This window comes from Homo sapiens, chromosome 11 (assembly GCF_000001405.40).
Source record: "Homo sapiens chromosome 11, GRCh38.p14 Primary Assembly".
Lineage (NCBI taxonomy): Eukaryota > Metazoa > Chordata > Mammalia > Primates > Hominidae > Homo > Homo sapiens.
Window position 1 is genome coordinate 88,292,842 of NC_000011.10, and position 25,346 is coordinate 88,318,187.

Sequence of the window (25,346 nt, forward strand, 5' to 3'; positions counted from 1 at the left end):
TTAAGGTGAAATTTCCAAGCATGCAGCTAGTATCCCTGGTGATTGCAGATACTCTGGTGGGAAATGCTGAGATTCAGTGCTCGAAGGTGCTCAAAGAGAACTCGGTTTCGAAGATCTAAGTTTTAAGCATGACTCCATCACTTGCCAGCTGTGTGACCTTGGACACATCTCTTGCCCTCTAAGTTGAGTCTCTATCTGTGCAAAGAGTTTAAATTACATGATCTTTATGGTCCTTTCCAGCTTGAAAAGGCTGTGGTCCGTGTTTATGTTTCAGAGCTCTGACTGCCTTATTCTCCTGTTACATAATTTCTAAGAGAAGGCATATGTTACTTAGCATAGAGGTTTCATATCCACTGTGAAATATCTCTGGGAGATTCCAAAAATCTATTTAAATCTAAGCTGCTAGTATTTCACTCATTAAGCTATTATTGCTCACCTACTGAAGACTAAGCAATACTCCCAAATACAAGATACACACCATAGAAAATAAATTCACCAATATCCAGATTTTGTCAAAACTCTTATTTCTTTTCTCTGAGGTCTCAGACTCATCAAACATCCAAGGATAATTTTAGGATTCACTAGGCATTATCTGAGTATATCTCCCTGTCATAAAGGTTCATAGTTTTGTTTTTAATTGAAATATCTTCAAATGCTTTTCCTTCTTAAATAAATGCTTACATAGGTAACATAAGTGAATCTTACTGAGTCAGTGATAAAAATTCCCTGAAGTAAACATAAACTCCATAATGCAGTTATTTTTAAAACTTTATTTTAAAAATATGAGCATCTATTTTAAAAGTTTTGATAATTATTGCCATTATTTTCTTGTGATTGGTACAATTTAAAAATAAGTCTATGTTTTCACATTGATTTTAAAAAATATAGCATGTTTGAATTACAAATGATTAAGCAAACTCTATTACTTCATAGCTGACCATCTTCCAGAAAATTCCCACTTAATTGAATACTTAGAAAAAAATGGCCAGTGGCCGATTGAAAGGTATATTAAAATTAAGGGCAGTTTTAATTCTGAAGACAAATATCTTCATGGAAATCTATTTGTAAGCTTCTGAGATTGCTGCTGAAAGTCTACAGTCTGTGAATATACCAATTCCCCTTTACAACTGATGCAGATCATTATGAAATACTGGAAGGCATACCCTACAATTTAGGAATTGGTGTGGCTGCCACTGCTATGCTCTCAATTGCACACTCATCAGTTCCTCTGCGGATCCGGAAGTAGCCATTCTCACCCCAGCCGGTGCCCCAGCTGTTTTTAACAATCCAGTAATCCATCCCAGAGGCTGAGTCAGTGCCATAGCCCACAAGCAGAACAGCATGATTAGTCAGCTCAAAGGGGTTGAAAGGGTCTCTTAGACCAGTGTGGTGGTAGATCCCCTTTTTGTAGTGGAGGAAGTCATCATATACTTCAAAAGCAACTGCCATGGGCCCATGATGGACCAACTCAAGCTTCATCAGGGCTTCATTGCAGCCTCCATAGAAACCTCCTACATAGTGGTACTCAGAGGAGTAATAACGAAAGCAGTCTTCCTTCATTTTGCATGGAGAATCAGTGCCTGTGTAGGGGAAGCAAGCTTCTTCCACCAGCCCAAAATCTTGGGCGTACTTTCCTGCAATAAGGTATGGGAAGCCGCCTTCACAGCCTGAAGATGAATAACACACATGGTTACCCCTTAGTAGAAAAAGGATTATCCCATTTTCTATTTTTTCTTCTTTGCTCCATTATTCTTTGCATGTTACCCCTGAAAGTTGTTCTTAGCTTAAGCATCACTTCATTCATCCATCCATTTTCCAACTAGCTAACTATCCTTTCATCCTCCTTCTACTTAACAGATATCTACTTAGCACCTAATATGGATGTAGCTATGGCAAAGTGGTTAAGTGGGGAGGCTCTGAAGCCTATATAGGTTTAAAGCCAAAGCCGTGTGAAGAGTTTAACTTCTCTGTATCTCTGCTTACTTACCTGTAAAATCTAGATGGTAGTAGTACTTTCCTCATAGGGTTAAATTAGTTACTTCATGTAAAAATAGCAAAAGTTAGGTATTATGGTCATTGCTAAGCAGCCAGACCCCACAACTTGGCTCTTTCTCAAGCAAGTCTTTTCCCTGACAACCTCTTGCCGAAATGTCTTTCCTACCTTCCTCATGCAGTCCTGGCCCTATTATATATATTATAACTCTGTACTTTTTCTTCACTGTTCTTCACTCTGTTGTTATAATTATTTAATCTCTATCTCTTACTTAACTGTAAGCTTCATGAGGATAAAGATTGTCTTGATATATTATAGCCCCTATAGCCTACAAGTCACAACTAGTAGTACATATTTTAGAAAGAATGAAAGGCTCACTGGCAAATAATCACTCATCAGCAGTTTCACTAGTGAGCTGGGAAATTCCTAGTGGCCAAATCTGGGCTTGAAAGCATAAACTTTAAAATGGTAACGTTTCTCCCTCAATCAATTATAGCTGTGTTTTCGACATACATCACATACAGCCTGATCTGAAAGCCTAAGTACAGATTTTTTTTTTTTCATAACAGGGCCTCACTCCGTTTGCCCAGGCTGGAGTGCAGTGGCATGATATCGGCTCACTGCAGCCTTGACCTCCTGGGCTCAGGTGATTCTTACACCTCCGCCTCCTGAATAGCTGGGACTACAAGCACACACCACCACGCCCAGCTAATTTTTTGTATTTTTAATAGAGAAGGGGTTTCGCCGTGTTGCCCAGGCTGGTCTCAAACTCTAGGACTCAAGAGATTCACCCATCTCAGCCTCCCAAAGTGATAGGGTTATAGGCATAAGCCACTGTGCCCAGCCCTAAGTACAGAATTTTAAAATTCTCCCAGAGAGAAACCAGTGTTAGTATAGTTTTAATAAAAGTTGGGTTTTGGAGACGATGATTAGAAGTGAAACTCCAATGCTAAAAGCTGTGAGACCTTCAAATTATTAGAAAAATTTCTTAGTTCCTGTTCCCCGCCCATAAATAGGGATTATACTTACTACTTCTCAGAGTTTTGAGCATTGTTAGGCAATATATGTAACAAGCAGAGCTCACTCAATATATAGTAACTATTGACATTTTGCTGGATGGTACAGTAAATTCCATGAGCAATCATCCATTAATAAGTGATAGGGCCAGACTTGCACTCAGATTTTCTGACTATAGACACTGCGCTCTCTCTACTGCATCATCCTTTTGCCTTTGCCAACAACAGCCAGCTGCACACAGGTAAATAGCTCATAAATGGTGTCTGAAATGCAACACTTACCTTGAGCATACTGGCTACAAGACACAACCTCCTGAGGGCTTAGGATTGGGGTCTGAGAATTGTTGGTTAGTATACGGATTCTCGCTTCTAGCATACCCATAGAAGCAAATGAGTAGCAGCTGCCACAGGATGCTGGCGATGAAAAAAAGACACATAATCCAAGAGACATCTGAAGCCTCACAGAGAATCATGCAAAAACCTTAGTGAATCACATACATTAATGTTTATACTGAATGTTGTTGTTTATAAGAATCAGCACAATAAGAAGACTCAACTAACAAGCATTGTTGAGCTTATTAAGGCAATCATTAAGATTTCATCCTTTTTCATCAAAAGGCAAACATTAGTACATGGGACTTTCTTTGAGAATATTTTAGAAACTAAAAAAACCCCTCATAATTTCTGAGAAGCTTTTGGCAATATTCTTGATAATGATGAAAGGATTTATGTCTACAACGTTCAAAGCCATCAGGTTGGGTGATGGAGGAATACATGTGAGCTGTGGAGGAATACACGTGAGCTGAGCTTTCAAATATCTCTAATGCAATGAGATGAAGGTTTATGTCCCTCTAAAATCATGTTAAAACCCCAATCCCAAAAGTGATGGTCTTAGGAGGTGGGGCCTTTGGGATTAGTGACCTAATACAAAAGGCTCCAGAGAGAACTCTCATCCCTTCTACCATGTGAAGTTATAGAGAGAAGTCAGCCTGTGAGTCCTATTTCCTTTTAACTACTGCCATTTCTGATGTTCCCTAAAATTCTCCCCCTAAAAATCTCAGATTGACCATATTGTACACTGTTTTGCTACTGAGAGATTATCTAAATTATGAAGATTAGAAAAGCACTTGGAAGAAGGACCTGTGAATTCATCTAGTGTACAACCTGCTCACTTGATAGATAACGTGTAACGGTGGCTCAGAAAGAAGCAATGAGCTGTCCAAGGACACACAGCTAATAGATAGCAGGGACAAGTGCCTTACTGTCTCCTAAGGCAGGATTAGTGTCCTTTTCAATTTATGGGTCTGTGTCTACTTTAACAAATATTCAGATTTTCTCTCCCTGTCTCGTAGTCACTAGACAGGGCAAAATTAGCTTATATCTTTTGTTTTCAAAACCATGCAGATGATACTATCCATAGGACCCATCCTTCAAATGACGGAATGTCAAAGAACATTGTACATTGTACACTGAACATATAACTGTGTTCAGCAGTACCTTCCAACAGTGAAGAACACACTGAACTAGGAGTGAGGATACTTTTTTTTTCCTCCTTTCTTGTTTTGCCCCTCATTAGCTGTGCAACACTGGACAACTTACAAATACACCTTGGCGCCTCATGAAAGGAAACCAATGTCAAAGAAATAACACAACCCAGGAGAGTCTGGAAAAGGTCCCTTTCTGACCACCCAGCTTTCTTGGCCCATAGCAGCCATGGAAATAATCTCTCTCAGTACTGGTCATTAAACTCCCATTATCTGACCATCGATCACTGTGGGAGGCACAGGCTGCAAGTGCATTCAAGGGCTCTGAATGTGTTCTATTTACAGAGCAATCACAGGAACAAGGGAAGAAGATAAACTTCATCAAGCCCCTGACCTGTAAGAATGTGTCAGCTACCAAGGTAATTAATGCCTCATTTCAACAGCCAAGGCCAATCTGATTCTAAAAGAGCCATTTATCTCTTAAGAATACTGCAATGCAATAAAGAATAAGAAGTGAATCTAGCCCAGCCAGAGCTCTGCAGTAATCAAATTTCTACAATCTCAAATAGATAGTGTGATCTTCATATGGTATAACTATGTTCAGCAGCACCTTCTAACAGTGAAGAACACACTGAACTAGGAGTCGGGAGTCAGGATTCTTTTTTTTCCCCTCCTCTCTTGTTTTGCCTATCATTAGTTGTGCAACACTGGGCACTTGACCTTTTGACACTGTTTTTTTCTTTTTAATCTTTTGTGTAAAATGAATTGGGTGGAGCAGTTTAAGGTCTCTGCCTTCCTGCTCAAATAATATAAATAGCATTTTGAAACAAGACTTAAATGGACTAGACTTTACGCATTATGAAAACACTCTGTATTTCCTAATTAATGTGACCCAGGAGAGACACTTCCCTTCTCTCTTAAAAATACAATAATAAATAAAAACAGCATAGCTGGGAGAAGAACAAAGAAAGCCCATTCTGCCGTATTTCTAAGCTTCTCTTCCCTCTCATACCTCAAAGTATTAATAAATCTAGGTATAAGGCTTGTTCTTAAATCTGTTTTCAAGTGTAAAGGTAAAACCTCATTTGTCCTCCCACTATTTCTTTTTTCTTTAATTTCAATTTGCTCTCTGACTACAGAAAAGCTGTGAATTCCCTTAATTGCAGCTAATTCTGAATTCTGGGTTATACAGAACACTGGTATTGGCAAAGTTGGTGGGAATTTTCAAGTAGCCCAATTAGCAGGAAGAGAAAATACTTTTTTCCCCAACTTACAGTATAGAATACCAAAAGAAAGTCAAAAGAGGAAACTTTAAGTACATTATTTTCTCAAGTACCTGACAAGATACTGTAGATGAGGGATCAATTCAAAGCAATTAATCCATCAAAGCCCTCTGTTTTGAAATTGCCATTTCTCTGTACAAATCATACTTATAACAGTCAAAGAATAAAGAACATGGGAGAAAATAACAGCTTTTACCAAGCTATATGAAAACCAATGTCAAATAATTTGGCTTTAGAAAGTCGAATTTCCTTTCCCTGAATTATTATCTCATATAACTTGTCAATCATTTCTTTTGGGAAGGGTTTGCTAAACTCTTCTACCTTCTCTTATGTTACCAATGAATTTAAAAAATGCTTTATTAAAGTAGTTATCATGCTTTACTTTAATGTTTTGCTTGTATGTCTTGCTAAACTGTAAATCACTAGGACAAGGACTATGTCATATTAGTCTTCATTTCCTCTGCCATTAAAAAAATCCTAATATATTTTAGATGTTCTGGTAACAACACCAGAAGCAACACTATAGTATCAGTAGCTCAAATTATATCATGCCAATGCTATCATGTGCCAGGACCTCAATGATAAAGTCAACACATAATATGCACTATGAATTAATCCTCTCAGGCACAAAAAATCTATTTGGTGATAGCATAACTTGCAATCTCTTAACATGGACCCTTCAATTTCACTTTCCATTCATTTCTCAATTATCTTCAAATTTATCTTATTTCCAATCCCACTTTCCAAAGAAGCCCTCCCCAGGAAATTGAGAAGGTAGGGAAAGATTTCAGGACCTATACTTTCTTTAGAGCTGAAGAGCCCAGAATAACTGGTAGAAAAGCAAAGAGACGAGACCCTTGGTGTCAGATGAAAAACAGAAATGTTGCTGACTGGCTGTTATAAGACCCACTTGGGGCTCTCAACATTCAGAACACTGCAAGAATTCAGTGAGATGGGAGCTTGGAGGGCAAGTGATGAAAATGAGACACGGCAGAGACTGATTATCACTAAAAGTTTAGGAAAGGGAAACAACAGTTTATCTTTGGGTACTATAAATTTATAATCCTCCCAGGAGACACTAATCAGAATGTTTCCAGACAGCAAATACTAAACCTATTTTATAGTAACAAATCAGCCATGGGTAGTATTATCTTCAAAATGAGCTTAGAAGTAATAAAACTGAGTATTGCATAGATTCTCCAAGTCATTGTTGGCTACAACTCAGGATAACAAGATAATTTGCTATCAAGTGCAGTTAGAGGACATGTTATGAAATCAACTCACATTGTATCAAACTTCTGAAAATAACTGGTAAAATTCAATAATAGGAATACTTTTCATGAACCTGGGTTCCGCCCTCACGCCATCACTCAGGAAGCTGGGTTAATACTTACCATCACATATCGTATTCTAATGTAAAGTGAATTGAAAGGTCCTTACACAGCTCAAAAAATCTACCAGGAAAATAATTTAAGGATTTATTTTACGGGTTCATGTAGTAATTAATGACTAAATTAATGGGGGTGGGGGAATACAGGAACAGGTATCAAAGAAAGATTCCAACAAACCACTTGCAGAATGGTACACAATTCTTTGCTTCTACTAGAATCTTTCCTACTAGGAGGACAAATGAGTTTGTCTTACATATCACTCTGATTGTCACTAGCTACCTGGAAAATATATTGAGAAGAGTACTGAATAAATGCTAAGCTCAGTAGAAAAGAAAATTTTTTACTAAAGTTTGTCATGGATATAAAAGGAAAGAATAATTCATAGGCCACCTATTTTCTATTTCTGTAAAAAGGGGATCATGCCCATTCCATCTAGGTATCCCCGAAATCCATCACACAGAGCAACTGTTCAATAAATAGTTCCAAACAAATTAACAAAAAACTTAGGCTTATTTTTTTACCTTGGTTTCGAACAGGACTGACAAAATTGATACCATGAACATTTCTCCAGTCCCAAGATGTTGGCAAATGCAAAATCTTTTGCTGTATTTCAGCAGTCAGTGGTGCAGGTTTGGGCCTAGAAAGGAAATATACATTTGATATCAACATATAATCTTTCCTTTGAGGATGATTTCCTAAACTCTACTATAATTCTATGATTTCAGCTACCAGACTAGCTAGGATCTAGATTCAGACCCAGAGCACCTGTTTTATGAGTGATTCAATGTGTCAATTACACAATGGAGTTGTGTAAATGGCTTTCATTCGCTGTTTCTTTTTCAGGATCTAGTATTGATAATTTTCCTTTGTGAAATGACACTGGTTTTGTATATCACTGTGATGTTATTTTTAGTTTGCCTGAATAGCTGCATTCTTACTCATTTTTGAAAGATTTTTGACCAAGAAAGAGATGAGAAGTAGAAGACATAAGAAGGGTTTAGAGAAAACAGAGGAATCACTGATGTTTGACTTAGGAGACAGACACATTGGTAGTGAGGTGGCTGTAAAAGAAGTGAAGTTGGCAAAGGGAAAAAAGGGTCTATGTGAGGCAGGAGAACAGGTTCTGGAGGCAGGGAACATAAGGCCAATTCACACTGACTTCCTAGAACTAAATAAAGTGGAAACACTTCAGCAATGGCAGGAATGCGAAGGGCTTTGTCACTTCACTTCATCCTCTCCGTTTACATGGGCCACAACCCCCAGGAGTAACACCCTCTCCATTAACACAAGGCCTATACTGAGTAAATGACTTTGTAACTTAACTCCACCCTCTTCATTTACATAAGGCATACACCAGGTAACCAATGGGAAACCTCTAGACGGTATTGAAACCCCAGAAAATTCTGTAACCAGGGCCTTGAATCATTTACTTAGGCCCACTCCCATCCTGTGGAGTGTGCTTTCATTTTCAATAAATCTCCGCTTTTGTTGCTTCATTCTTTCCTTGCCTCATTTGTGAGTTTTGTCCAATTCTTTGTTCAAGAAGCCAAGAACCTGGACACCCTCAACCAGTAACAAGCATAACACAGGCTGACTAGCTCCGTAAACAACAGATAAAACTGTTTCATTATAGAACCACACCTTATATGACAGTGTTGGGCTGTAAGACACACAAAGGAGAGTTGCCTAGGCCCATGAATGAACGGACATTTTTGGGAAGTGAGAAAATTGTTCTAACAGCTTCTCTGTATTAGCGATTTCACACATACATACACATGCACACACACACAAACACACGCGCGCACACACACACACACACACACACACAGAGAGAGAACCACAGCTTTAGACACATTCGACTTCTTGGAGTTTCCCCAAGACTGCCAAATGGCCTCTCTGTTCTATATCTTTATGCTGCTGCTCCTGTAACCTCAAGTGCCTGTTGCTCACCACTTAAAACTCCCCTAAGAGTTTTTCCCTAACTTGTAATTTTCAAAACTGCTCATAAAGTAGCCTCCACTCACCAGCCCCCAGCGAAAACTCACTTCCTCTCTCTCTCTGCTCCTTCAAATTTGTTTTTAGGGCACTAGTCACAATGTGGTAAAAATTATTTTTTGTTACTATAAACTATTTGAATTTCTTATTCAACTGGGCATTGTCATATCACACTGTTCTAGTTTTTCAGTGGTTACCAGATGTTTTTTACTAGGCTAAAATTTAGTCAATGGCAAAGATTCTTTCTGGGCTACTTCATGCCCTCTGCACCTATCCACAAATGGTCCCGTCTCTCACAGCTTCTCTTAGATATAACACAGGTTAAGAATACATGACAAGGGGCCAGGCGCGGTGGCTCACGCCTGTAATCCCAGCATTGGGAGGCCGAGGCGGGCGGATCACGAGGTCAGGAGATTGAGACCATCCTGGCTAACACAGTGAAACCCCGTCCCTACTAAAAATACAAAAAAAAATTAGCTGGGCGTGGTGGCGGGTGCCTGTAGTCCCAGCTACTCGGGAGGCTGAGGCAGGAGAATGGCATGAACCCAGGAGGTGGAGCTTGCAGTGAGCCGAGATTGCACCACTGCACTCCAGCCCGGGTGACAGAGCAAGACTCCGCCTCAAAAAAAAAAAAAAAAAAAAAAAAAAGAATACATGACAAAATGGAACTGAGATGAAACAAAGAGAAAAACAACAACGATTTCTTCAAAAATAGCAATTGTAACCTTGACAATTGTATAGATTACACAAACACTAGTTAATTGTTCACTAATTTTTTCTCCTAAGCCAGTCACATTGGTTGAAGATATACATGATACAGAGATAAATATGAGATGGTCATTAACAATATGGAAGACAATGTTAAGAGACATAATATACACAAAGATTACTATAACAAGTTACAGTAATGCTATAAAACACACAATTTGGACAAAGTCTATATAATCAAGGATCATAAAAATCTGTGCCTCATAGGTAATTTTATATATAGGGTGAGAGAAAAAACAAAGCTTGGACATTTCTTCTAAGATGTATAAATAAAAACTAAGATGCAAACAAACCATTTCCATCTTTGAATGGAAATAGTTTCTGTGGTTTCACATTGAGAGAGTATGTTGAAGAAGAAACTCAATTTTTTTTTAATTCTCTCACTGAACACTATCAACTGTCAACACAAAAGACTTCTGTGATCAAATGCATGTGGGTTTTTCCCCACAAATCAAGCAAGCAACCAATTTCACAGTGAATACTAGCTGGGTGTCCTCCAATCCAGTTTTGACACTGTGTACTTAGAGATGGCATCAGATCTCACAGGCTGAGGGCTCCGTCCCACAAAACTGCCCCCTACTTCTCATGCCAATTGAAAGCCCTAGGTTGTTTACCTGTGCTTCTGGCCAACCAGCTATAATGTGGGGATCCTATGACACCCTCCTTGGGTTCAATTAATTTGCTAGAGTGACTCACAGAACTCAGAGAAATACTAACTAATGTTTAGTGGTTTATTATAAAAGATACTACAAATGAAACAGATGAAGAAATGAGTAGGGCAAGGTATGGGGGAAGGGGCACACAGCTTCCATGCCCTCCCTGAACACGCCACCCTCCAGGAACTTCCACTTGTTCAGCTATCTGGAAGCTCTCTGCACCCTGTCCTTGTGAGCCTTATATGGGGACTTCATCAAATAGGCACAACTGACAACCATGTAGAGATGTGACTGGACATAAAGGGAATGATGTAAACACAGCAAGGCCTGTCCAGATTCTTCTGAGCCTCTCTCTGTTCAGTGTTCCTTCCTTTAGGGTATGACACAGGACATCTTTGGAAATGAAGGTCTTATGACCCAAGATCAGAAAGGCAGGAGAAGATTAGAGTGCTGCCCTGGGCAGGTGAGAGGAGGGCGGAAGAAGATCAGAGAGAGAGAGAGAGAGAGACTCTGTTTTCTGAGGCCTACTTCTGAGGCCTAATGTGCCCCAACGTTAAAAGATAGTGACAAGGGCTATGGGAGTTATGAGCCAGGAACTGTGGACAAAATCTAGTATGTGTTAACTAGTTGTCTTGTTTAAACCTAAGAATATACTAATATAAAGGATAAAAAAGAAATTTAAGTTTGGCAGCATAATGTAATTTCAGGGCATATGATTTTATCACTTACTATCTGTGTAACATTTGGCAAGGAACCTAACATTACAAAACTACAGTTCACTTCTATTAAAGTGGGTATAATCATGCTTACCTCAAAGGGTTGTTATGAAAATTCAATGTAATAATGGGTAACAAGTGCTTAGAACAGTGTTTTTCTCTGATAAGTCCTTAATAAAATGGCAGCTGTTATGAAGATAACATTCATATCATTAACAGGACTAAATAAGATGCTGATACAGTTTAAAGCAATTATCTGGCACAAAACAGTCATTACAATATTAAGTTCCTTTTTTCTACCATCCTATAAGGCAGAGATTTGCCCATCATTGCACACACAAACAAAACAAAAACAGTGTGAGAACTGAGGCTTAATGATGTTGTCAAAGGTGTTTGACCCAGAGCAACTCCATCTTGAATAGGAGCTGGGTAAGATGAGGCTGAGACCTACTGGGCTGCATTCCCAGACAGTTAAGGCATTCTAAGTCATAGAATGAGATAGGAGGTCAGCACAAGATTCAGGTCATAAAGACCTTGCTGATAGAACAGACAGGCTGCAGTAAAGAAGCCAGCTAAAACCCACCAAAACCAAGATGGCGATGAGAGTGACCTCTGGTCTTCCTCACTGCTACACTCCCACCAGCACCATGACAGTTTAAGAATGCCATGACAGGCCAGGTTTGGTGGCTCACATCTGTAATTGCAGCACTTTGGGAGGCCAAGGTAGGCAGATCACCTGAAGTCAGGAGTTCAAGACCAGCCTGGCCAACATGGCAAAACCCTGTTTCAACTAAAAATACAAAAATTGGCTGGGCATGGTGGGTCATGCCTGTAATCCCAGCTACTTGGGAGGCTGAGGCAGGAGAATCATTTAAACCCAGGAGGCAGAGGTTGCAGTGAGCCAAGATTGCTTTACCGCACTCCAGCCTGGACAACACAGTGAGACTCTGTCAAAAAAAAAAAAGAATGCCATGACAATGTCAGGAAGTTACCCTCTATGGTCTAAAAAGGGGAGGCATGAATAATCCATCCCTTGTTTAGCATACAATCAAGAAATAACCATAAAAATGGACAACCAGCTGCCCTCAGGGCTGCTCTGTCTATGGAGTAGCCATTCTTTTATTCCTTTACTTTCTTAATAAACTTGCTTTCACTTTGCATTGAGGACTCGCCCTAAATTCTTTCTTGCACAAGATCCAAGAGCCCTCTCTTGGGGTCTGGATCAGGACCCCTTTCCAGTAACACTGTGAAAATGAAGAGAGAGCAAGAGGAGTCTGGGGGATAAAAAGGTGAGAATTACAAACATTTTGAGTACAAGATACAGGATTGGCTCTTAATCTTTTGGCCCACATTCTTTACAAATCTAGTGAAAGCTCTAGATTCAGAAATGCTCATAAACAATAAATGCTGTCTGTAATTTCAGCAGTTTCAAAGACTCCCTATATCTCAAGTTAAGAATCTTTGAGAGTTTCTATTACGTCATTGGATTCTTAGAACAGAACTAATTTATAAACAAAAATGCTAGTGAAAAATCAGGAAGCCAGATTATAATATCTGCTTTCATATTTCCTACTTCACTCAATTCCATCTCCTTATCTTAAACCTTCTATAAAGCTTTAGTCATGAAAACAGTCCTTCATAAACCCAGCCCTTGTCTAAAACAAAAGTGGTTGGCTGGAGGGAGAAGGGAGCTTTAGCAGGAGTCCTCAGAAACATAGCATATGACACTTGGTAAAGCAGCTGTGACTGAGGCTCCCATCTTTCAGGCAGGAGCCACAGTCTCCCTAGGCTCAAGTGCTAACACTCCTCCTCTTGATGCTTGTTTGGATTTTTGTTGTTGAATAGATCTCAGCTTCCTGTCTCATGCAGATACATTAAGACACATTAGGACTTCACTTTGGTGAATTTGAGAAGGGGATATGATATGCTCCGTTTTCCAATTTTGATTAACTAGAGCATTTCACAGACAAGAAATTCTCTAGAATAAACTTGGAGAAATACTGCAAAAGATTCTTTTAAGAAAGGGGTAGAATTATGGGAGGATGCCATCAGTTGGACAGGAAAAACCTTCACATAGTCTCACAGTTGAAAAATGCCACACCTTAGCATTATTAGTCTGCAGATGAAAAAGTTAGTAATGTTGATATGGACAGGAGACAGGGAAATACTGGGTAGAAGAGGGTGGTCCCTCAGCAAAGGCCCCACCCTCAAGCCTGAAGACCTAAGGCCCTAAGAGAAGACAGGCATTTCTGTTTTCACACCAAAAAAGGTGCCTTTTGGCCCGCCATGCCCCCCATCCTTCCCCCATATAAACCCAAAATCTTAGCAGGCACAGATACAAGGAGCTGAACATCCAGAGGAGCAGAGGAACAGAGCGGCACAGAGCTGTGGAGAGTGGTGGGACAGCACAGCAGAAAAGGAGGGAAGAGGTATTTGAACCCAGAGGAGAACAGGAACAAGTGGACTCCAGGGGAAGAACACCTTTCCCCTCCATCCTCCTTCTCTGGCTGAGAGTCGTCTCGCGGAGAGCCACCTCCACCACTCAATAAAACCTTGTGCTCATCCTTCCAGCCCACGTGTGATCCAATTCTTCTGGTACACTGAGCAAGAACTTAGGCTGTCACATTGGACCCCTGCCCTTGCAATAAGGCATGGGGTCTAATGACCTGATTAACACAAGCCATCTGCAGACGGCTAAGCTGAAAGAGCACACTGTAACACATGCCCACTTGGGCTTCAGGAGTCTCCAACATCCACTCCTAGACACTGCTGTGGGGCCAGAGCCCAAAAGCACCCCCCATGGCCTCTGCACCTGCCCCTCTGCATGCTCCCCCTAGGGGTTTGGGTGGTAGGGCAAGGGCAACCAAAGGTGTGAGAAGCCACACCTCTGTCATATGCCTGCGAGGGAGATAAGGGAACTCTCACATTTCAAAGTGTTTTAGTTGAGTAATTATTAATCTATTAGTAGTTTATTCAAATAATACAAATTTGAGCCATGAACTCTACAGATATTAGAGGATTAAACATTGTATTCTCTGAGAATTTGAGGCTATTTCAATGTATTAAGGAAAAATAACCTACCTATATAATTTTTCAAATTCTGCTAGCTCCCCATTGCTTTCCAATTCCTTACCCCTTAGTCACATGATCCTAAAGCAAAGTATGGCATTACAGGACTTATCCGTGGCCATTTAACAAATGTTAAGGAACTATATTAGATAGATGTAGATCCTAAGCTAGATCCAGCTATACTTTCAGAAAAATAATTTTTTTTTAAATTATCTAAATTTCTGACTAGACAGATTCAAAGTATTATGATATAATTTCCCAAACTAAGAAATATACCATGGGGCTTATGGGTAAAGATGAAAAATGCCACCTCTGGTTGAGAGTAATAGAGCTATACTGATAACTTTTTTTTTTTTTTTTTTTTTTTTGCTGGACATCAAAGCATAGAGAGGATTTTGAGATTTTTTTTTAGGTGGCAAATTTTACAGTTACTGTAGGCAAGTTGAGGGCTATTTGAGGCAAAGGGAACAGCACAAATGAAGATGAAAAATGAAAGTTTTCATTCATTGTGTGTCATATCGTTTGAAAGCAGAGCAAGGTGATAAATATAGTTATGGTCATAATTAGATGGGTTTGGATACCAGGCTAAATGTATCCATTAGGTAGTGGGCAGTAACACAGTCTCGTAATCACCCAACGGGTTCTCCTTCCTCACGGCCTACACAGAACTGATTATCAAGACAGGGAAATTGCAATAGAAAATGAGTTTAATTCACGCAGAGCCGGCTGTATGGGAAACTGGAGTTTTATTATTACTCAAATCAGTCTCCCAGAACTTGGTATAAGAGGATGAAACTAGAAGCATTTCATAAAACAGCTAAGAATGGGAACTGGGAGAGGTAGCGACGAAAGAGATGGCAGGCATGAAACCGCCTTTGCAAAAATTATACCAGTGAGAAAACTATGAGAGTGAAAGAGAGCTAAGCTAACCCATCCCCCATCTTGCCTTCCACTTAAATATTCCTGGGCTATTGGGCCAAGCTAACTTTGGAAGTCATTTCGGCTACAGTTTAAATGACAATGGGCCTTGCCCTGAAACCCAACCACTTTTGTGAAGCTAATGGAGGCAGTCAGGCTGTGGGGAGAAGAGGAACCTGAGTCCAGCTAAGGCGCAGACTTGAGAGATTGTCAGCCGTTATTCCAGAGGTTATAAGACATGCAACTCCATCAATTACTCCAGCAAATAACATCATTATTGTAGAATCTAAGACTGGCTTTTTGAAATATCTTTTCAGGGAAATTTTATATTTATTTTATTTATTATTTTATTTTATTTTATTTTATCTTACCTTATCTTATTTTATTTTATTTTATTTTTGCATGTCTGACACCCGTGGTTCTACCTGGACCCAGCAACCCCACTCCTATGGCCCCACCTAGAAGCAATTCAGCCCACAGGAGGACAGCTTCAACTCCCTGTGATTTCACCCACCCCAACCAATCAGCAGCAAGCATCTGTTACCTGGCCACCCCCACCCCTTCCCCCAAGCTGCCTTTGAAAAACCCCTACCTATGAGCTTTGGACAAGATAATTTGAATATGAACTCCATCCCCCACGTGGCATGGCCAGCCTAGTGTCTCTTAAGCTCTTTCTCTACTATATTGCCATGGTTTTTCTTTATGCAGCAGGCAGGAAGAACCCCTCAGGTGGTTACCGGCAGGAGGCTAATCCATAGCATGGGGGAAACAGGACAAAGCTGCATGCCAGAGTGTAGAAAATGGAAAGGGGGCAATGGAAACAACAGACATGTGAAAGAAAAACTCATAAATAGGACTTGGAGAGTGACAGAATATGTATCAATAGGAGATAAAGATCGTTAACAGATCACATAAAAAGTTACAACTGGGATGACCAATAAAATGGCGAGCAACACTGGTAGGACTGCTTAGGAGGGAGGATGGTATTCAGCATTCATATTTTTATTAATGATAAAATGTGTGCTTGATTACCTTGGGATTTTTCGACTGTGGCCACCACTTCTCCTAATCATATCTCCCAGGGTAAGAGTCTCATATTCCATGTATGTAGTTGCAGTCCAAGACTTCTGAATGGCATTGATAGCTTTCACAAAGTTGTGATCATACTTGTAGAGCCTATTAGAATACCTGTCCCCAAAAATGAGATAATTTCAGATATAGTCTTTACTGATGTAAATAGAGTAATTAAAACAGGCATTCACACTCTGTGCCTAAGTGGAAAGTGGTACAATCTTTCAGGAAGGTAATTGGCAATATGTATCAATAGCCTAGAACAGCCTGGCATGTCTTCTCTAAAAATAAAAGTTCAAGTTAACTAAGATGCATGTATAAGGATTTTCCATGAAGTACTTTTAAACTACTAATAGATTGTAAATAACCGAAATAAATATTCTAAGATAAGGGACTGATTAATGATGTTTCATTTTCTATATATTCATTTAAAATGTCTAGAAAGTTATTTAATGATATGGAAGAGTGCTCACAACTATATTATATTAAATATGAGAAGATATCAAAGTTTATACATAATCATAATCAATTTATCAACTTTTGCACAGTAATATATGTATATTATATGTATATTAACGTATATGTATAATACATACATATATATGTATGCGCGCACACACACACACACACACACACACACACACACACTATAAATGCATTTTTAAAATGCCAAACATGGTTACCTCTGAATGGTGGCATGAGATGCCAAGCTTTCCCCTACTCCCTACAGTTTCTACAGTGTACCTTTATAACCTTTTTAATAAGAAAAAAGAGAAAAGCAAAACCTGTATGCAACATATATACAAAATGCAAGCATTATAACCATATGATACTAAAAGAAATTATACTTTATGGACATTCGGTTTATACTTGTTACTCAGAATTTAGTTCTTGAACCAATATCAGTAGCAACACCCAGAAGTTTATTAGAAATGCATACTGTAAGTACTCAGCCCAGATCACCTGAATCAGAATCTCCTTTTTTTTTTTTTTTTTAAACAAGATCCCCAAGTGATTCACAATAACATTAAAATCTGAGCCACATTGGTTTACCTTGTGCCAAATGCTTGGATATATATGTAAATAGATTCAACACACAAAGAGCATATTTACAAAGTAGAAAAATTCAGGAAGCTGATTATTCACTTAATTAAAACATTTATCATACCTGTGTGCTAGATGCTAGGAATTATAGAACTCACCATATTATTACTATTAAAAAAGAGTCTGTGGTTTCAGAGTGACTCACTATCTAAGACTTCCATAAACATTCAACTATGCAAAACAAGATATAATTAACCTGAGGAACATTTTAGGCATACTGCAAACTTTTCTTTCCCTTATAAATCATGTGTGTAGAGAGAGAATTTTGATATGGTCTAAAAACCTAAGAGCACTGAAAATAATCAGAAAAACGTGCAACCAGGTTGATAATGTTTTAATGTTTTTGTCGAAGTTCTTTCCCACTTGTTGCAAAGTGTGAAAAACCCAGAGACGTACCCTTATCAAGCAGATTATAAAACTGTATCATATGTATGACTACACTAACACAATAACAAAAACAAGTTATAGTTGTTTCATTGTTTCTTTAGGCAAAAGAATATATTTTAAATTGTAAATAAAATACTTTTGAGATATTTTCCCACAACGCCAGTCAATATTTCATTGACTGTAGATATTTGAGGAGCAGTAGCCTGCTGTTTCGCTTGCTTTATCATAACATCTAGCAAAACCTCGTGTGTTGACATGTGCATTAAAATAATGACAAGATAGCATCCTACGTCTTAAATACTATTATTTTTGGTGTTTAAGATCCAACGAGATTAAAAATAATGTATCTTACTATGGGATAACAGATCATTAAGAGCTGAAAGAGACCTCAAAGGCAATTCAGTCCCACATGCTCACTTCACAGGTGAGGCAATGTAGGTTCTGAGCACTCCGGTTGGGAGCTTCTTCACTAAATGAGAGAATGTTTGAAATATCAAATAGAGTACAATAGTACATAGCATATCCTAAATGATAGGGTACAAAGTAAACAAGTTAAAAGTAAATGTGTAGCTCTAGGATCAAGCCAAACAAAGCTATTTAAAACCTAAACTTAAAATGAAGGGGATGAATTAGTCTAGATCTTGCCCAGCACCTTTGCAGACAATTCATCCTCCTTTAAATCATCTCTCTTACCTCTGTGCTGCAGTCATTCATTACTAATGTTGCCTGGCTTGGGATGATTTGTACATGTACATTTTTAGTGGCTTTTACAACTACATAAAACAGAAAAAGTAACAACATTTCATCTCTTCCTTCCAAAACTAATAAAGTCTAATTTGAAATCTCCTGTTTGTGTGGTTTAGTCAGTTATAGATTTAATTTAACAGTAAACATTAACTGCAGTTTATAGTCTGAATTGTGTCCCCCTCAAAATTCATACGTTGAAATTCTAACCCCCTGTATCACAGCCATATGACTGTATTTGGAGACAGAGCTTTAAAGAGGTCATTAAGGTAAAATTAGGTCATATGGGTGGGCCCCAATCCAATATGACTGATGCCCTTATAAGAAGAGGACATTAGGACAATCAGAAAAGACTGTTTAGGAGCCCAGTAAGCAAGCAGACATCTGCAAGCCAAGGAGTGTGGCCTTGGAAGAAACCAAACCTGACAACACCTCAATCTTGGACTTCTAGCCTCCAAAACTGTGAAAAAACAACCTTCCTTAAGCCACCCAGTCTGTGGTACTTTGTTATGGCAGCCCTCGCAAACCAACAGGCTGCATAAATACTAAGAACTTTGATTTCAGTTATTTATGGTCTTGTTTAAAAGTTGCCCAATTAGTATCACCTATACTTGTTGCAGCATAAACATACGTATCTACTTGTATCATGCAACATGTTATTACATGGCAATAAGCAAAATGGCTTTTCTTTATTAGTAATTTGCAATTCTGTGGTCCATTACATGATTTCATTTAAAGTAATCATTGGTCCATTACTTTTGGAACACTTTGAAAAAATACTCTCAATAATGTTGGTCAATTTATTTTTCCAGTAAGGTTTTACATAGCATGCCTAATATTTCTAAGCCAAAGATATTTTGTATAATCAAACTAAAATTCCAAAAATGTACACACATATTCATATATACTATAAAACAAAACTAAACGTATGTCTCATTTGTAGCAACTCACTTTTCCTGAGAATTCTTAAGGTGTGCTATGTTGACATACACATTCTCAGAGGCAGTTCCCACCTTCTTTCCGGTGAAACAAGCCCAGTTCCGGCCCAACACATCATGCACCCACCCAGTCATTGTCTCGTTGCAGTAAGTGGTCACCTTGCTGCCCTCTTCTTTATACTGCAAACAAATAAGAGAAAAGAAAACCAAGTAAAATCTGTCTTCAAATTTCAGGTCCATTTCCATGGCTCTCATTCACAGTAAATGTGCCCCTTTCAAAACAAAAACTTCACCCTGAGAGGTTACACTGTAAGAATTATTCTAGAAAAAGAAGACATACAAACTTTTCTGTGGTTAGCACTGTTGGCCACCAAACAAAATGTATATAACAAAACACTTCCAGGAATGAAGGCCAAGGGAAAACAAAACAAAACAAAACAAAAAAGAAAGAAAACAGACCATCTGGCATATTCAAGGCATTTTTCAAAAGTGACTTCACAGTCCTTACAAGAAGACTATGAGGATGCAGATGATAATAACCACATTTTACCAAGGACAAAAGGAGCTCAGCTCAGAGATAAGGAGCTCCTACCAAGGCAACAGGCGAAGTGGCAGAAACAGAATTCTCCTCAGTCTATCACACTACAATTTTCCACTGAGACAAGGGCCACACTAGGAAACTACAAGAACAAATGATGAACTTTTTTTTTCCAGGGATGGAGTCTTGCTGTGTTGCCCAGGCTGGAGTGCAGTGGTGTGATCTTGGCTCACTGCAACTTGCACCTCCCAGGTTCAAGCGATTCTCTTGCCTCAACCTCCCGAGTAGCTGGGATTAAAGGTGCTTACCACCACGCCTGGCTAATTTTTGTATTGTTTAGTAGAGACGGGGTTTTGCCATGTTGGCCAGGCTGGTCTTGAACTCCAGACAAGTGATCCACCCACCTCGGCCTCCCAAAGTGATGGGATTACAGGTGTGAGCCACAGTGAAACAGAATCCTTTTTTTCTGTCAATCTCTCAATTTATTAGCATATTCTGATCATGAGGGGGCTAAAGTAACCTGAGTATTAAATATATTCTTTACACTTTATTTCAGTAATATGGCCTTTTGTCTTATTTCAGTGTTAGAACTGAAAAATAACTATTATTTTTAACAGATCCAGGATTTGAACTAAGATGCTCTGGCTCCAGAGCCTAGTCACCCTCATGTTAGAACATCTCCTCATGGAGGCGGGGCACATGATCCAGGATGACTGTGTAGCATGTGGGAGACAGAAAGGGAAAATGCTGTGCTAAATTTCTGAGGAGAGACTTGGGCACAGACAATTTCAGGCTCTGACTTAATTTAATAGAAAAGACTATTTGTAGAACCTTGGGCAAGATTTTACGAGGCTTTAGTTCTGTTGCCTGTAAAATATGGAAAGTAGAAAAAAAAATCCTCAAAGGTATAAACATTCTGGGATTCCATGATCAAATGCAGGGTTTGGTAAACACTTCCTATAATGGCCAGACAGCAAAGACCACTAGGCTTTGCAGGCCACTTAGTTCTCTTGCAACTGTTCAACTCTGCCCTTGTAGCACAAAAGCCATCAAAAGCAAGACTCAAACAAATTGGCACAGGGGTCAACTATGTTTCTATAAAATTTCTGTTTACAAAAACAGACAGTAGGGTGGTTTTGGCTCCAGAGGTTGTAGTTTGTGGACTCCTGCTCTACTCTAATACACATTATTTCACTTGTTTGCAGAGGTTGGCAAACTTCTTTTTGAAGGACTAGATAGTAAATATTTTAGGCTTGAAGGCTGGAAGACCTCAGTCACAACTACTCAACCTAAAAGGTGCAAAGGGAATACATAAATGAATGAGCTAGGCTGTGTTCCAATAAAACTTTACTTACAAAAAGAGGTTTGTAGTTTGCCAACCCCCAGTTTAGAGAAATGTGTGGGCTAAACTACACTTAAAGTTAAAATTACCTTATTGCATCTGACTCTCTGAATTCAAATCATATTTAGGGGGAGAGTTAAAAATGTATGGCTTTAGAATCCAGAAAAACTGGACTTGAATTGTGGGAATCACCACTCACTGTGTTATATAGCACAGGAAAAGTTACTCTGGGCTACTCATATCCGCATCTTGCTTTTATCTTTGGTGATATTCATGATATTCTCTTTTTTTCAGACAGAGTCTCACTCTGTTGCCCAGGCTGGAGTACACTGGCGAGATGTCGGCTCACTGCAACCTCCGCCTCCCAGGTTCAAGCGATTCTCCTGCCTCAGCCTCCCAAGTAGCTGCGACTACAGGCATGTGCTACCAGGCCTGGCTAATTTTTGTATTTTTAGTAGAGATAGGGTTTCACCATGTTGGCCAGGCTGGTCTCAAACTCCTGACCTGAGGTGATCTGCTTCCTTCAGCCTCCCAAAGTGCTGGGATTACAGGTGTGAGCCACTGTACCCAGCTGGTTGTTCATGATATTCTGGATCCCATATGTCTGCTTCTAGTGAAGAATGGCTTCACTAGCATGAGTTCAGTTCCCAACTACTCAAGTCCCTGCTAAAACCCTACTCAATATGATGACCATGGAAACAAAGACCCAGGACATTGTTGGGCAGCAATATGAGAGGGTGTGTTGTGTGAAAAGGTTAATAAAATTAACTTCATACTAAACTATGTAAAACTTCTACTTTGGTAGATCGAAACAGTGTAACATGGTAACTTTATAGGATGCAACCTAAACTCCATAAAGTTGTATTATGTACTTCTCTCTGGCACTGGCTCTTGATCCTATTCTCTTCTCCTTGGTTGCATGCTGGTAAGGCAGGCCAGGTAGGGTTAGGCCGATGCTCCCTCCCACCTCTGCTGTTTGAGGAAGCAGTCTGACAATGTTTCCAGAGTTCTTAAGAGCTACTTTATAGATATTGACACACATACACAAACAAAATGCTACACACAGGAAGACATTCACTGCAGTATAACACAAGTTAAAAATAAAAACAATAGAATGTCCTAGAAAATGCCCAAATTTAAAAAGTATTAGGTAAACAATTTATTCAAAGGAATAATGTGTAACATTGTATATGATAAACCTGAGTTCTATAGGAAAGGGGTGAGCAAACTAAAATTGGAGAAGACTGCCTATTTCTATAAATATAGTTTTACTGGAGAACAGCATGCCCATTCATTTATACATTGTCTATGGCTACTTTTGTGCCACAATGGCAGAGATTTCATACTTTATAAATATTGTACAGATTACTCATAAATCTTACAGGTTCAAGAGAACACAGAAATGATATAGTCTTGGGGGACAAAAAAAAGACCTAAGGAAGTGGTGGAACTAGAACTAAGCATCCTACCCAATGCCATCCTCCACTTCTTCCTACAATTTGTCTTCTCACGAAGAGCCAGAGAGGTAAACAATTACTAAAATCACTGACGGGAGATACCCAGAAATGACAGAAAAGGCTTTTTTTTAAACCCAAAGGGCTTCCACCTATATTATTTGAGCCTCACGATAATCTCTTTGGGATAAAATTTCTTTCTAATGAAGAAAAGGTGACTCTGCAAAATTAAATGGAGAGGAAAGGATTCAAATACAGGTTTACATGTTACAAAGGTCATTGCTTTATCCATTGTATTCTCTAAAAAAAAAAAGGTGCAGAGAATTAACTGACTCATGAGTCACGTTCAAATTGTTGCCCAAGGCCTTTAAAGGGCTGCCTAAAATTTCTAGCAGTCCTCATAGGTGTTCTCCCATTCTTCAGGTACCTATGTTGCCTTGGCTCTTTCAGTCTTTTTACCATGCCTGCCTAGGGTTTTTGACGCAGAACAGAAAGAAAGAATAATGCCTTCAGGCCTAGACTGCCTAGACTGCTCTGCCACTGATTGGCTGTGTGATCCTGAGCAAGTCACGTTCCTCTCTGTACTTTCAGTTTCCTCATCTTTAAAACAGGAGCAATGGCCAGGTACAGTGGCTCATGCCTTTAATCCCAGCACTTTGGAACGCCGAGGTTGGGGGAATCACTTGAGGCCAGGTGTTTTGAGGTTACAGTGAGCAATGATCCAGCCACTGAACTCCGGCCTGGATGACAGAATCAGATCCATTCTCTAAATAAATAAATAAATAAATAAATAAATGAAGCAGGGATGATAATTACAGACTATATCTCATGGGCTGTGTTTTATGTATACTAACTCATTTATTTTTCACGATAGTCTATCAGGTTGTTCTTTCCACAAAAACATAACTATGACAATAGGATTTTTGTTTATTCAGTACCTAGAAAACTATCTGGCACTAGGAAGTAATTAACTACTAAATGAGTGAATAAATGAATAACAGAAGAGGAAGAACAACAAATGTCAAGTCCTATTTCAACAGTTAACAAGGCACTGAGAATAGGTAAGTTTATAATTAACAGAGGTGTGGTGATGCCAATATATCACAATGTCTGACAGTCCAAATCACAGTATTACTTCAGAAGTGCAAATGTTCCTCTCCAAAGCTGCTTCCCTATTTGTAATTTTAGGTTGACCTAGAAGTTCCAAAAATTTCCCTTCAAGCTTTCTAATTGCAAATCCTTATATCTGTGGTTGTCTTAATTTTTTTTTTTTTTCAAGATGGAGTCTTGTTCTGTCACCCAGGCTGGAGTGCAGTGGCGCGATCTCAGCTCACTGCAACCTCCGTCTTCCGGGTTCAAGCAATTCTCCTGCCTCAGCCGCCTGAGTAGCTGGGATTACAGGCATGCGTCACCACGCCCGGCTAATTTTTGTATTTTTAGTAGAGACAGGGTTTCGCCATGTTGGCCAGGCTGGTCTTGAACTCCTGACCTCAGGTGATCCGTCTGCCTCGGCCTCCCAAAGTGCTGGGATTACAGGCATGATCCACCACGGCCAGCCTTCTTATTTAATATTCATAAAGCCAGTAATTCTTAATAGACACACTATTTATATGAGTAATCCTAAAAAACTACAACTTTGTTTTTGTTGTTATAACTTAAACCCTACACATTCCATTAAATTGATGGAATTATTTTCCCTTTTAAAATTTTATTTTATACTATTCTTACAATCTGAAATAATGTATCAATTTTAGAACCTGAAATTATTCTGTAAAAGTACAGAGCTGCAATGCCACTCTGCACGACAACAACTTAGTAAAAGAGAGGCATTTACCAGCGGGGAAGCCAAGTACGCAGTACCTTAAGGGGGACCATCCACTGTACCCCTGTGATTTTCTTGATTTGAATGTTTTCGGGGTATGTCATTTTTTCCTGTGAAATACTTCTTTTGTGATTTCTGACGTTGTATCACCAATTAAGAAGTTGAAGTTTTGACCCCGCTATCCAGCTTGAAATGCAGCCAAAAAATTTTTCTGAGTTTTCACTTATATAAACATCAGTCTCTGAAGACTGCCTTGCACAGATGAGATAATTTAAGTTTCCATTCATTTATGCTAATTTCTACTGCAACAAATAGATAATTTCCTAAAATATGAAGATCAAGCCCTAGTATTTAAGTTTAAAAAACTATTATGATTCAATAACTATCCATTTGCTTCTTCAATATTACCATTAAGTTGCCACACATTCTCAAAATATCCCTTCTTCAATTTCCCACTCATTTTATCAGCTATCCAATTAGATATACCTAGTCATAGGGAAATTTTGGAATTGAAGTTATTTTTGGGAACTGAAGTTATTTATCTTGGATCTTTTACTTGACTGCTTTTTGACACTGAGGAGAGGGAAAAAAAAATTCCTTAAACCTGTTCTACTGTTTTCTTGATTAATAATATACTTAGCCAATGTCTGAATACTT

The 25,346-nt window shown here is 39.0% G+C and overlaps 1 protein-coding gene across 1 annotated transcript in view, besides 4 other annotated features; it reads right to left on the reverse strand.

Annotated features, from left to right (window-relative positions):
* Nucleotides 751–25,346, reverse strand: part of CTSC (cathepsin C) — a 44,145-nt gene continuing 19,549 nt past the window's right edge. Inside the window, exons 3-7 of the mRNA NM_001814.6 lie at nucleotides 19,547–19,713; nucleotides 16,322–16,477; nucleotides 7,689–7,804; nucleotides 3,292–3,423; nucleotides 751–1,667 (exon numbers count right to left, since the gene is read on the reverse strand). Of these exons, the coding sequence (NP_001805.4) occupies nucleotides 1,165–1,667; nucleotides 3,292–3,423; nucleotides 7,689–7,804; nucleotides 16,322–16,477; nucleotides 19,547–19,713 (1,074 nt within the window). The 3' untranslated portion in view covers nucleotides 751–1,164. The remainder of the gene's footprint in view (nucleotides 1,668–3,291; nucleotides 3,424–7,688; nucleotides 7,805–16,321; nucleotides 16,478–19,546; nucleotides 19,714–25,346) is intronic.
* Nucleotides 4,541–5,234: an enhancer, noted in NCBI's record as "OCT4-NANOG hESC enhancer chr11:88030550-88031243 (GRCh37/hg19 assembly coordinates)". NCBI's record gives its function as "activates a minimal SCP1, AML or CMV promoter by ChIP-STARR-seq in naive and primed H9 embryonic stem cells {active_cell/tissue: H9 hESC(naive and primed)}" and the evidence as "EXISTENCE:reporter gene assay evidence [ECO:0000049][PMID:30033119]".
* Nucleotides 10,563–10,622: an enhancer, noted in NCBI's record as "active region_5380". NCBI's record gives its function as "activates an Ori minimal core promoter by ATAC-STARR-seq in GM12878 lymphoblastoid cells {active_cell/tissue: GM12878}" and the evidence as "EXISTENCE:reporter gene assay evidence [ECO:0000049][PMID:35858748]".
* Nucleotides 14,640–15,595: an enhancer, noted in NCBI's record as "OCT4-NANOG-H3K27ac hESC enhancer chr11:88040649-88041604 (GRCh37/hg19 assembly coordinates)". NCBI's record gives its function as "activates a minimal SCP1, AML or CMV promoter by ChIP-STARR-seq in naive H9 embryonic stem cells {active_cell/tissue: H9 hESC(naive)}" and the evidence as "EXISTENCE:reporter gene assay evidence [ECO:0000049][PMID:30033119]".
* Nucleotides 20,047–20,247: a silencer, noted in NCBI's record as "peak1386 fragment used in MPRA reporter construct". NCBI's record gives its function as "represses an SCP1 promoter by STARR-seq MPRAs in K562 erythroleukemia cells {active_cell/tissue: K562}" and the evidence as "EXISTENCE:reporter gene assay evidence [ECO:0000049][PMID:32103011]".